The 12,372-nt window shown below is 50.1% G+C and overlaps 1 long non-coding RNA gene across 1 annotated transcript, besides 5 other annotated features; it reads left to right on the top strand.

Moving 5' to 3' along the window:
- The first annotated feature begins 448 nt into the window (after positions 1-448).
- On the top strand, positions 449-2,186 carry LOC124904881 (uncharacterized). Its single transcript, XR_007067554.1, has 2 exons — positions 449-576; positions 673-2,186. It is a non-coding gene; the product is annotated as an uncharacterized LOC124904881 (long non-coding RNA).
- Positions 5,566-6,066: an enhancer, noted in NCBI's record as "H3K27ac hESC enhancer chr20:24855486-24855986 (GRCh37/hg19 assembly coordinates)". NCBI's record gives its function as "activates a minimal SCP1, AML or CMV promoter by ChIP-STARR-seq in primed H9 embryonic stem cells {active_cell/tissue: H9 hESC(primed)}" and the evidence as "EXISTENCE:reporter gene assay evidence [ECO:0000049][PMID:30033119]".
- Positions 8,112-8,201: an enhancer, noted in NCBI's record as "active region_17650". NCBI's record gives its function as "activates an Ori minimal core promoter by ATAC-STARR-seq in GM12878 lymphoblastoid cells {active_cell/tissue: GM12878}" and the evidence as "EXISTENCE:reporter gene assay evidence [ECO:0000049][PMID:35858748]".
- Positions 8,322-8,381: an enhancer, noted in NCBI's record as "active region_17649". NCBI's record gives its function as "activates an Ori minimal core promoter by ATAC-STARR-seq in GM12878 lymphoblastoid cells {active_cell/tissue: GM12878}" and the evidence as "EXISTENCE:reporter gene assay evidence [ECO:0000049][PMID:35858748]".
- Positions 9,566-9,625: an enhancer, noted in NCBI's record as "active region_17648". NCBI's record gives its function as "activates an Ori minimal core promoter by ATAC-STARR-seq in GM12878 lymphoblastoid cells {active_cell/tissue: GM12878}" and the evidence as "EXISTENCE:reporter gene assay evidence [ECO:0000049][PMID:35858748]".
- Positions 11,838-12,337: an enhancer, noted in NCBI's record as "H3K4me1 hESC enhancer chr20:24849215-24849714 (GRCh37/hg19 assembly coordinates)". NCBI's record gives its function as "activates a minimal SCP1, AML or CMV promoter by ChIP-STARR-seq in naive H9 embryonic stem cells {active_cell/tissue: H9 hESC(naive)}" and the evidence as "EXISTENCE:reporter gene assay evidence [ECO:0000049][PMID:30033119]".

Raw genomic sequence — 12,372 nt, 5'->3', positions numbered from 1 at the left:
GTAGGCTGGTAACTGTCTGTAGGGAGCACTGGTCCATGTTTCAAGACCTGATTTATGCAGTGAACTGGGCTCCTAAAAATTCCTCAGTTTTCCAGGAGTGAAGGTAGATGATGCTATTTAATTATGTTAGTAATATAGAAGTTAGACCTATCATGTATAAATACAAATGACCAAGGACTGTGCCCCTAAGCTGAAGCAGGCTGAAAAACAAGATGTCCCATACCTCTTAACCATGAGACTTGGAATGAGTTTACAGTTGCTGTTAAAACTTGAAAAAGGGTAGCTTTATTTTTCACACATTTGTGAACAAGGCTTGGCTGGGAAGTTGGAGACCACAAGTTGGCACATTCCCATGAAGGCTGCCAACAGAGAGTCCAATCACACACCAGTCTCATGCACGGAGCTGACAACCACATCCCTTAAAGAAAGGCCCTGTGCCATTTCCAGAGCTTTTCTTTTTTCTCGTCATGGTGTTGGCTTTTAATGGAAACCAAGAAACTTGATGCACCGAGCCCAAGAAACAGAAACAGAAGCAGAAGCAGAAAGCTTCAGTGGAAAACAGCTATCCAGTTAAAGGTAATTTCAGGAACCTTGGCTCTGTTCCAGGAAGGGTGGCAAGAAGACAGCAGAGTGCTTTGCCTGGGACCCAGACAACCTGTGTTTAACTTACAGCATCATCACATACAACTGAGATGATCTCGGGCACCCCTGCACCCCAGCCTCCTCAGCAGGGTGGGAGAGTGATGCCCACACTGCTCACCTTGCAAGAAGAAATGACCATCGAGCCAACCAGTTCTTGCTGTGTAACCAAGGGTGCTGAGGCCCAGCGGCTGGGCCAGCTGGCTGGGAGTTGCTGATGGAGGCCAGGGGCTGTGCTCCCTCTGTTTCCAGTGCTCCAGCAGGCAGGCCTGGGAGTGTGCACGTGGTCCTGGGAGAAGCACGACAAGGCAAGTGGAAGAACACAAGGCCTCCAGGGCTTTTCTTGGGGTCGGGGCACCATTACTTCTGCCCTTTTCTATCCTATTGGCCAAACCCAGAGGCCAGGGGCAGGGAAATGTCCCCTGCCTCTTAAGTGGGGCAACCACAAAGTGCATGGCAAGGTTCTGGATGTGTAATCTTGCTACTCAGAGTAAGGTGGTGCAGTGGATTGAATTAGTGTTCCGATGACCATAGTGCCAGTCAGTGGACCCTGTGAATAGTCTCGTGACTTGTATGCAGTTGAGAATAATGTCGGCAGATGTTGCTGAGCTTTAGCTCTGATCCAGGTGCTCCGTACCCCAGGCCCTCTGTGCTGCCTCCTTCTCACTTTATTTGGAGTTGTTTGAGCCCAGTGGCCATTGCTGAGGAATCAGGGTGTGGGGCTCAGGGAAGGAGGTGGCTTTGTCTAGGCACTTGGCTTTGCTGCTTCCACTCTGTGTGGCTTAGGGATTCTCAGTCTCACGAAGGCTCAGTTTTCTCAGGCATGGCCAGAGGCAGCTGTGTCTGGCATGGAGAACCAGTCCAGTTAATGGTTCTCATTGCTGCAGTTTTGTGAGGCCTGTCCTGGTAGCTCCAGGGCCCACTGTGGACAAGAGTCCTGCACGTGGTAATGACAATTTGTCATATCAGACTCTAGTTGGTGAGGTCTAGGCCAGTCTGTCTTGTCCAGCACTGCATAGGGCTATCAGAGTAATCCCCAATTTCTGCTTCCCTCCAGCAACTCTCCTGATGAAGAGCCCACAATGGATCCTAGCCTATTCTCTCCAGTCTGAATTTCTCACTCGATTTGACATCTGTGCATATGCAGTGCTGCTAATGTCCAGAAGAGAATGTGCATATAAAGAAATGAGGTGTTCTTCCTCTTTAAATAATCAATAAGTCATATGTAATGCCTCCAGGAGATTGATAACAACATAATGAAGCCAATAGTTTGCACGTGTTCTTTCAATTATAATGCTAACCACTTTTATGAGGTCTAACATGAAATAGAGCTGGTGAGGAGCAGGGTAGAGAACTTAAGACCAGCCACCTTTCCTAGTGTGTCCCATGTGCGGGCTTCGCAGCTCCCGGCAGGTCCATGGCAGTCCTTGGGTCCCCAGGTCATTGCTGTGCAAACAAGTCTCCGGCCTGGTGCTCAGCTAAGTTCTTGTAAATAGGCCTGTGAATAGTGCTGCAATAAACATACGTGTGCATATGTCTTTATAGCAGCATGATTTATAATCCTTTGGGTATATACCCAGTAATGGGATTGCTAGGTCAAATGGTATTTCTAGTTCAAGATCCCTGAGGAATCGCCACACTGACTTCCACAATGGTTGAACTAGTTTACAGCCCCACCAACAGTGTAAAAGTGTTCCTATTTCTCCACATCCTCTCCAGCACCTGTTGTTTCCTGACTTTTTAATGATCAATGAGAACACATGGACACAGGAAGGGGAACATCACAGGCTGGGACCTGTTGTGGGGTGGGAGGAGTGGGGAGGGATAGCATTAGGAGATATACCTAATGTTAAATGACGAGTTAATGGGTACAGCACACCAACATGGCACATGTATACATATGTAACTAACCTGCACATTGTGACATGTACCCTAAAACTTAAAGTATAATAAAAAAAATGGGGCTGTGGCCAGGAAAGGTGGAAACTATCCGTTTTTTTTTTTTTTTTTTTTTTAATCTGGCACAGAAGAATTGAAATTTTGAAGTTTCTGGTGTGCCTTGTGACTTACAGGCAGATGCTAATGACCACAAAATACTAACTGTCCCAGCACCAAAGGCCAAGGGCACAAGCCTTCCCCAGTGCCTTGTGCCAGGTGGTGGCCACTACTAAGATTTTTTCTCTTTTTAAATAGTTTTATTGAGATATAGTTCATATATTATACAATTCACTCAAAGTATACATTCAATGGCTTTTGGTGTATTATTAATTTAAAAATTTGGTAAAATACACATAACATAAAATTTGCCATTTTAACCATTTTTAAGTATATAATTCAGTGGCATTAATTACATTCACAGTGTTGTGGTTACTGCTATTCATTTCCAAAACTCTTTCATCACTCCAAATAGAAACTCTGTAACCATTAACCAGTAAGTGCCCACACTTCCTCCCTCCAGCCACTGGTATCCACTATTCTACTTTCTGTCTCTCTGAATTTGCCTATTCTAGGTATATCATGTAAGTGTAATCATACATTATTTATCATTTTATGTCTGGCTTATTCCATTTAGCATAACGCTTTTGAGGTTTATCCACATTGTAGGATGTATTGCACCTTCATTCCTTTTTAAGGCTAAATAACATTCCATTGTGTGTGTACACCGTGCTTTGTTTATCCACTCATCTGTCGATGGGCACTTGAGTTGTTTTCATCTTTTGGCTATTGTGAATAATGCTGCTATGAACATAGGTATACAAATATCTCTTCAAAACCTTGCTTTCAATTATTTTGACTGTATATCCAGATATGAAATTGCTGGGCCGTAAGGTAATTCTATGTTTAGGTTTTTGAGGAGCCACCATACTATTTTTCCCAGCAGCTGCACCATTTTATATTCCCACCAGCAATGCACAAGCGTTCCAATTTCCCCACGTTCTCACTGATATTTGTTATTCTCTCTCTTTCTCTGTATTTTGACCATCCTAATTGGTGTGAGGTAGTATCTCATTGTGGTTTTGATTTGCATTTCCCTAATGATCTGTCATGTTGAGCATCTTTTCATGCACTTATTTAAAAAATTTTAAAAATTTTTAGTAGAGATGGGGGTCTCACTATATTGCCCAAGCTGGTCTCGAACTCCTGGCCTCAAGTGATCTGCCCACCTTGACTTCCCACAATGACAGGATTACAAGCATGAGCCACCACACCTGGCCTCATGCAATTAGTGGCCATGTTTATGTCTTCTTTGAAGAAATGTCTATTAAGTCCTTTGCCCATTTAAAAATGGGATTGTTTGTTTTATTGTTATTGAGTCTCAGGAGTTCTTTATAAATTCTGGATATTAATCCCCTACCAGATAAGTGATTTGCAAATATTTTCTCCCATTCCATGGGTTGCCCTTTTACTTTGTCGATAGTACCTTTGTTGCACAAAAGGTTTTAATTCTCATGAAGTCCAAGTTGTGCATTTTCCTTTTGTTGCTTGCACTTTTGTTGTCATATCCAAGAAATCATTGCTGAGTCCAATGTCATGAACCTTTACCTGTTTTCCTCTATGAGCTATATAGTTTTCCCTCTTATGTTTAGGTCTTTGACCCACTTTGAGTTAATTTTTTGTACGTGGTGTGAGGTAGGGCACAACTTCATTATTTTACATGTGACTACCATGTCAGGTTGTGGTTACTGTTAACTTTTACAACTAGGAATGAGAAGACTCAGGAAGTCATATGATTTGGGGCTTATTGAATCTTTGTGAAGCTTTTCTATTCAATCCAGGCTTGGCCGGGTAACTTTTGACTCCAGTTATGTGGGAGACATGTCATAAATGTTTCTAAGTTTTGGTCACTCACATGTTTTTGGTCTTAATTCACATTGTCCCTGGATTCTAAGGGGCATGGCTTTGGGAGAGGGATGAAGTCCTGTATACCAACAGACTTGTCTTTAAAAATGTGCTGTTGGTGGGGTGTGGTTGCTTATACCTGTAATCCCAATACTTTGGGAGGCTGAGGTGGGAGGATCACTTGAGACCAGGATTTCGAGAGCAGCCTGGGCAACAAAGTGAGATTCTGTCTCTACAAAAATTAGAAAAAAAATTAGCCAGGGATAGTGGCATGCACCTGTAGTCCCAGCTACTCAGGAGGCTGAGGTAGGAGGATCATTTGAGCCTGGGAGGTTGAGGCTGCAGTGAGTCAAGATCACGCCACTACACTCTAGCCTGGGTAACAGAGCAAGACCCTGTCTCAAAAAACAAACAACAAAACAACCAAACAAATGTGTTGTTGATATTTGGACACAGAACAGAACAGCAGCAGCCAGGGGCTGGGGTGGGTGTGAGGCTGACCACAGAGGGACGGCATAAGGATTGTTTTGCGGTAATGAGACCATTATGAATCTTGATTGTGGTGGTGGTTGTGTGACTGCATACAGTTGTCAAAACCCTTAGAACTGTAACCCCAAACAATGACTTTTACTGTGTATACATTTAAGAAATAACTAAAGCATGAACAGTGTGCTGTTGCCAGGCAGTACTGAGCAGGGTAAGTGCTCCCTCTCAGGGCAGACCCCTGGGTTCGAGTCCCGGCCCCTTTACTTAGCTGTGTGCCTTGGTTCCCATTTCTGTAAAAGGAGGGTGATGATCCCTACTGCATAGAGTTGGAATGAGGATTAAATGGATCCAGCTCTGAATCAGGCTGGGGTGTATAAATTGCCACCTGAGGCATTTCTCCTCACTGGGATCTCCAGGCCCCAGGTGTGTGTGTCTGTGGGGATAGAGGAGGAAGAGCTGAGGACGTGGGAAGCTTATGTTCCTGCAGGGTGCTCTGTCATCCGTTGACTTTATTTGCTTGCATCATACCGTGAGTGCTGGGACCCCTTACGGGTGGGGTGCTCTTTGTCTCCCACAGCATCAGTCGTGTTCTGGGCACATGCCAGGCACGCCCTGGACACAGGGCAGCTGAAGGTTGGGCTGGGCTGGCTGGTCCCTCCTGGGCAGGCGAAGCAGGAGGCCTGAGCTCTGAGGTCCTGGCTGGGTTGGGCTCTTTCTGGCATAACCCATTTTGCTGGTCAGCAGTCACAGGGAGGGAGAGCCAGGTGAGGGAGAGTCCTCGCCTGGACTTGGGAAGGTCTCACTTTGCTTTTGGTTGCCCCAGGTCCAGGAGCTGCTCTGAGCAGGAAGGAACATGCTGTCTGTTGGGACCTGATGGGACAGGCCAGTCTCCTTGACTTTCCTGCTTAAGGGGCAGGAGGTGGGTCCCCCTTCCTTGGTGTGTCCTGCTGCTCTTTCCCAACGATGCTTCCCAAATGTCCCCTCCCTGTGGTTGAGCCCAGGCCTCTCTGGGTCCTTCCAGGAAGACTTGCCCACCTGCCTGTATTTTGGGATGCAGCTCCCGCCCTGTTTCATCACCAACACGTTTCCATCTGCTTCTGCCTTCCAGAAATTGATTGTAATCTCGTGCTGGCTTGCTGACCACCTGCTTCCAGTTCTTTTTGTGGCAAGAGGTTCATTCCCTGTAGAATTCATTTGCTGGCCTGGGAGGGAAGAGAGGCAAGTACATGCTGAGCCACAGACAGGAGTGCCCTCCTCTTAGAAAGCAGCCACGCGTCAGGGAGCCAGTCAGTCATTTACATTCCAGCACAAATGATGCCAGTGGCCTGTCCCTGAAAAGGCATCTGAAGCACAGGTTGCTGGAGAAGGCCTGCCACGTCTGAATGGGAGGCCTCCACCTGTGTCTGGGGGCTTCCAGGAGGCTGACGGTATTGAGGCCCAGCGTGAGCAGGAAGAAGGAAGAACAGGGGGTGCAGGGGTGGCACCAGATGCAAGAGCAGTGGATGAGACCCCACACTGATCTTGAATTGGAGACCCAGGCTTGCTTTGTTCTCTGTGGGGCCTTCGGGGTGGGGCTGCAGCGGGGAGTCTAGAGGGTGCTCTGGGGGCCTTGTGCCCAGATAGCAGGACATTCTCCTTTCTCCCTGCCAGGCCCCAAACGTATACATAAACCAATTTTATCAGGTAGAAAGCAAGAGGTTTAGAACTCTAACAGGCGGATATCGGACAGAAAGCTTTCACCCGAGCCCTTCATTTGAGAACACAAAAGGAAACAGTTCTCGTGCCGCATTCTCACAGTCAGGTGTAGGGTCCTTCTCAAAGGCCTGGGCAGACATTCGGGAACCCCCACTCATGAAGGCTTCGATGCTATCTTGCTCTTCCCCATGGCATCCTGGGCAGGAGTGAGGACAAAGTCTCTGAGTGGCCATGTGAACCCCTGTCTGGGCAGTCCTTGGCTCAGGAATTGGGGGTGTGTAACTGTTCTCCACCCTCTGCCCTCCCTTGTGTAATCCCTCCTGGGGTGAGGGCACATGGTGTGGGGTGAAGATTTGAGTGGTGGGAGCTGACCCAGGGTGCGGCATGGGACAGGGCCCCAGACAGACGTTAGGGTCCAAGGTGGTGCCAGACACAGTGGTCATGAGGAGGCCGTGGCTTTGTGTGTGTTTTTGGCTTCCTTTGGAAAGGAAATGATTGGTGGTGGTGGCCTCCTACAGCAATGTTTCCTTTCTCATTTGGAGCCCTAAGCAGTTGGGCATCCTCTCCTCCAACAGAGACCTTCTGATGGAGCTAGCGTGCTGAAGTCATTGGGCAGAGGGCGAGGTGGCCTCAGTACCCCTGTGGTCGGGGATGTGCTCCCTTGGACGAGGCCTTCCTGCCATGACCAGACAGGGGCAGGGGTGTCAGGAGGAAGTAGGATCAGGACACCCAGCGATGACAGCGGCCCCGGCAGTCCCTGTCTCCCTGCGTGCTTCCTTCCTGTTCAGCTGCTCCGTCCTGTGCTGCCTCCCTCCAGAGGACACCAGAGAAGACGCGGCAGTCTGACCCCACGAGAAGCACCCCCACGGAGGCTGGCCTCCTTCCCCGCAGCCTGCGGGGTTCACGTGCCCGGCCGGTGGAGCTGTCTGGTCCCTGAGTCTGGGGGCCGAGGCTCTCCCTGCAACCCCAGTGATCAGGTCACCATCTCTGTGTGTCTGCTTTGCCTCACTCAAGGGTGACCCACCCAGCACACTCCAGTGAGCGCTGTTTTTGTTTCATCTGTCGTGTGTCAGTCAGTGGGGGCAGCGAGGACAGCCGCTCCACTCCCTGGACACGGCCCTCGCCCACAAGCACTGTCCTTGTGTTGCACAGGCGTTGCACAGAAGCAGCAGCGCCTCCAGCCTGGGTGGTTTTACACACAGTCCCCAGCACGGGAGCTGGGGTGCTTGGCCTCCCTTGGAAGCTGCTGCCGTTACCCCACTTCGAGGGAGGAAGCCTGTGTGCTGAACACAGGCTCTGCTGAGGCTTGTCCCCATGCACCACCTCCCCTGCCACCTCCCAGCAGGTTCAGACCCCGGGGACCTGCACCACCTGGGCAGCCCGACCTCGGTGCCTGAGCGCCCTGGCCCCCAGCCAGCTGCTCACCAGCTCTAAAGAGTGAGAAGCAGGAGAGGAAATGAAGTCGGGAACCCCCATCCCTCCTCACAGGGTGCAGGGGCCAAGCTGGAGGGCAGCCAGGCGGCAGCAGAAGCCTCTCCTCCTCCTGGTCCCCATGGTGGGGGCTGGTTGCCACCCTCCCCCTTCCCCTGGGGATGCTGCTGGTAGTCACTATGGGGATAAAGCGATTATGTTTCCAGACCATAGGGAGCCAACTCCACCTGCAGGCCTGAGGGCCCTAGCCCCACTGCCGCCTGGGCATGTCAGGGAGAGGGATCACAGCTTTGCTTCCCACTGAGTGTCCTGGCCCCAGACAGCCCATGCCTAATGTGGGGCCACCTCCCTTTCCTTCTAACATGAGCTGCCTCTCCTGACCTCAGATGGCCTTGATGCCTGACTGCTGTGTCCTGCTGGAGGAATGAGGGCTGTAGGTGAGTGACCGGGTGACGAATGTGTTGGTGGTCTCCAGGGCCACTGTGGGAGTGCATGTGTGTGTGTTTCAGGGTAGAGTGGGCTTACCTGGGGCTCAGCCTGGTTCTGCTCTCTCTTCTCTAAGTATCAAAGAGAGCCCCTAGTTGCAGGGGCTGATGGAGAGCCCCACTCTGCTCCCCTGCTGCATCATGAGAGGAACCCTGACGCTGCTGTGTGCCAAGGCTCCTAGTGAAAGGCCTCCCGTTTATCTCATTGATTCCAGTGCAGCAGATAAAACCCCAGCCCAGAATGGCCCGCCTTGCTTAGGGCTGCACTTGCTCCCCTGAGAAATATCTCAGAGCCTCGCTGTGCCTCCCCCATCCCACCTCCCAGCTCCTCTCCTGTCCCTCCCTTCTTCTCCTTCTGCGCACAGCAGGAGGCTCTGGAAGGAGGACTTGGCAAGGAAAGGCAATGAGTGGGAGTTAGGAGCCACTGACACCCTCTGGTCTTCCCACCCTCGCTGCACATCCAGCCACACTCCCTTCCCTCTGGCGTCTCCTCATGGATACTTGGGTCTTGAGGGGCAGCTGGGGAGCCCGGGCTCCAGGAGGGGCAGGGAGGAAGGTGGAAGCAGGAGGAACTGGCCTGGGGCATGCCCGTGGCTGCAGGATGTGCAGGCTTAGCCGGCAGATTCTCAAAGCACCCTGTGCCTGGGGCAGGAGCAGGGGCTCCCTCCAGCAGAAGGGTGGTACCTCGAGGGGATTTTTGATGTTGTCTGATGGGGTCAGAGGGCATAAGATCCTGGGCTGAGTACAGCCTGATGCCAACAGTGCGCCTCCATGTGGGGTCCTGAGGGCGTCACCCACACAGGTTGGGCAGAGGCCAGTCCAAGCATGGCTTGCTTGATGCTGACAATCTGCTGCTAAAATGAGACTTCCTGTCTGACAGCACAAACCGGGAGCCTGCTCCCATTACTTTAAATGGGAAAAATGATAATGCATTGCTTGTTGCCCTAAACCCTCCATGCAAGTCCCCAAAATGTATCTAAAACACGATAAAGTGCTTATTTATAATTAAGATCCCTGAACAAGTCCCCCAAACATAACAGAAACATGAGATCGTGCCTCCTGGTGAGGGAGAATCTGTGGGGCTGTGATGACCCATGCTCAGCCTGTCCCTGCATGGTCAGCGGTGCATGACTTCAGCACAGCTGTGCAAGGACCACAAGGGGTGACTGCACTGCCCTTGGACCAGCCCTGTTCAGGGCAATCGCCACCGCAGCTGCAGTACTGTCACTGTGTGAAGGCTGACCCTACAGCAGGGGGCCCAGGGTGGCCATTTTGTTGTGCTCATAGTTTCTGTGAGTCTGGGCTGGGGAGGATACAGGGGCCAGCTGGACTTTGCTCCACAGTGTTGGGGCCTCAGCTGGGAAAGCCCAAGTCTGGCAGCGGGGGGCCGTGTCATCCCCCAGCGCCCTCTCAGGGGCTCTGCGTGTGGCAGCTCATCACAGCGGGACTTCTGACATGGCCAGGGCTCCAGGAGTGAGGGCTGCAGAGAACAGGTGGAGCTGCCTTGCCTTAGGACGTGTCTCAAAGTCACATCACGTCACCTCTGTCTGTTGGTCGGTAGGTCCAGGGAGGAGGGCCTTCTCAGTGGAGCAGTGTTAGGGCTGCATTGGAGAACAGCTTGTGGAGTAGAGAAGTCATGTAGTTGTAAACATCACATGTGATTCACACATTCTACTAATTGTACTTGGAAAGTGGCTTGAGACTTTTTTTGCCATCATTTTGTTAAAACTTGTGTACTGAAATTTTTGGAACGTAAAAATGAAATGTTCCCCTGTAAATCCGCTGAGGCCTGCTAGGAGAGCTACGATATAAAAGATGGATGGTAACAAGTGTTGCTGAGGATGTGGGTCAGTCAGGGCCCTTGGCCACTGCTGCTGGGAATGAGAGTGGTGCAGCCACTTTGGAAAAGAGTTTGGCAGTTCCCCAAGAAGTTAAGCCCATCCAGCAGTCCACTCCTACATATACATCTAAGAGAATTGAAAATGTGCATTTGCACAAAACCTTGTACATGAACGTTCATAGCAGCATTGTTCATAATATCTAAGAGGTGGGGACAGCTCAGACTCAGATGTTCATCTGATGAATAGGTCAACAGCATGTGGAATAGCCATAGGAGGAAATATCCAGCCATAAAATGGAACAAAGTACTAACTTATGCACCAGCATGAATAATTCTTGATGCTAAGAGAAATAAGCCTGACGCAAAAGGCTGCGTATTGTAGAATTCCTCTGATATGCAAATCCATGGATACAGACAGTGGATTGCTGGTCACCAGGGCTGGGGACAGAGAGGTGGAGAGTGACTGCTAATGAGGATGGGATTTCTTTGATGAAAGTGTTCTCGAATTAGATAGTTGTACAACCTTGTAAATATACTAAGAAGACCCACTGAATTTTATATTTTGAAAGGGTGAATTCCATAGTATGTGAATTATGTCTTAATAAAAATTGTTTCAGAAAAAAAGTACAGACATAAATTGCTCAATGACAGATACGTTCTGAGAAATGTGTCCTTATGTGATTTTGTTATCGTATGAACATGGAAGTGTACTTACACAAACCCGGATGGCAGACCCTACTGCACACCTAGGCTGTATGGTATGGCCTATTGTTCCCACGCTGCAAATCTGTACAACATGTCCCTGTACTGACTACTGTGGGTAACTATAACATAATGGTCAGTATTTGTGTATCTATACATATCTGAACATAGAAAAGGTATAGTAGAAATATGATATTATAATCTATGGGGCCACCATCCTATATGTGGTCTGTTGTTGAACAAAAGGTCGTCATGCAGAGCATGATTGCATTTAAAAATCAGCTGAGAGATATGTCCTTTCTGTGAACTCTGAGTATTAAATGTCAAGTGCCTTTCTACTGGGAGAGGTTCTTCAGGGCATGGCTGTGATAAAGGGATGCAGGCACCCCCACTGTTTCCTCATGCAGGGCCACTGGAGGAGGATGGGTTGGAAATGTAGCTGACACTGGAGGGCCGAAGCAGGTATCTACCTCAAACCCAATGTGAATCTCAGGACAGGTTTGCTCAGCTTGGTGGGTGGGTTGGGAGAAGATGCGATGACCAAGAAGCAGAAGTGGAGCCTTAGAGTCAGGCGAGGATGGTGAATTTGAAGGCATGGGAGTCCTGCCCACTAGTAACATGGGCCTCATGAATGCCTGGCCCTGGCCAATCCCATCAGCACTTCCTCCTCTGTGTGGGTGATTGGGGTGTGTGGGCACGAGGAGAATAGGGGTTTAGCAGCAGTGAGACTCAGGCATTTTCAGGCTGGTAGGAACCAAGCCGCTCTGAGACTCAGTCTGGCCACAGCCACCATCCCTTTGGGAGGAGAGGGTGGGCAAGACCTGATGGGCCGTCAGGGAGTGGCCTGAAATTTAGGTCAGAGGTTCTGCCCAAAGGGGAATGGGATTCTGCTGGAGGACCAGGATGCAGCCACAGTTGGGGAGCAGGGGAAGGTGGGAGGGAGCAGGGATGCTCCAAGTTTAGGGGCACATTCTGCTGGAGTCGGTCACTTTGAGGTCACTGGTGAGCAAGCCTCCTGGTATCTATGCTTCGGGGTCCCCCGTCATGTGACTCACTGTAACCAATGAAGCAGGAGGGAGTGACAGGGAACTGTGCCAGTTCCAGGCCTAAGCTCGAGGAGGCCTAAGCTTTTGCTTTTGCACTGGGGGAGCCTGAGCTGCCGCAAAATGTGCTGAGCCCCGAGACTTGTGGAGAGAGTGAGGTGCAGCTGCCCCAGCCTCCCAGCTGAGCCCGGCCCCACTGACCCTTCAGCTC

Source organism: Homo sapiens, chromosome 20 (genome assembly GCF_000001405.40).
Source record: "Homo sapiens chromosome 20, GRCh38.p14 Primary Assembly".
NCBI lineage: Eukaryota > Metazoa > Chordata > Mammalia > Primates > Hominidae > Homo > Homo sapiens.
This window is presented reverse-complemented; position numbering and strand designations above follow the sequence as displayed.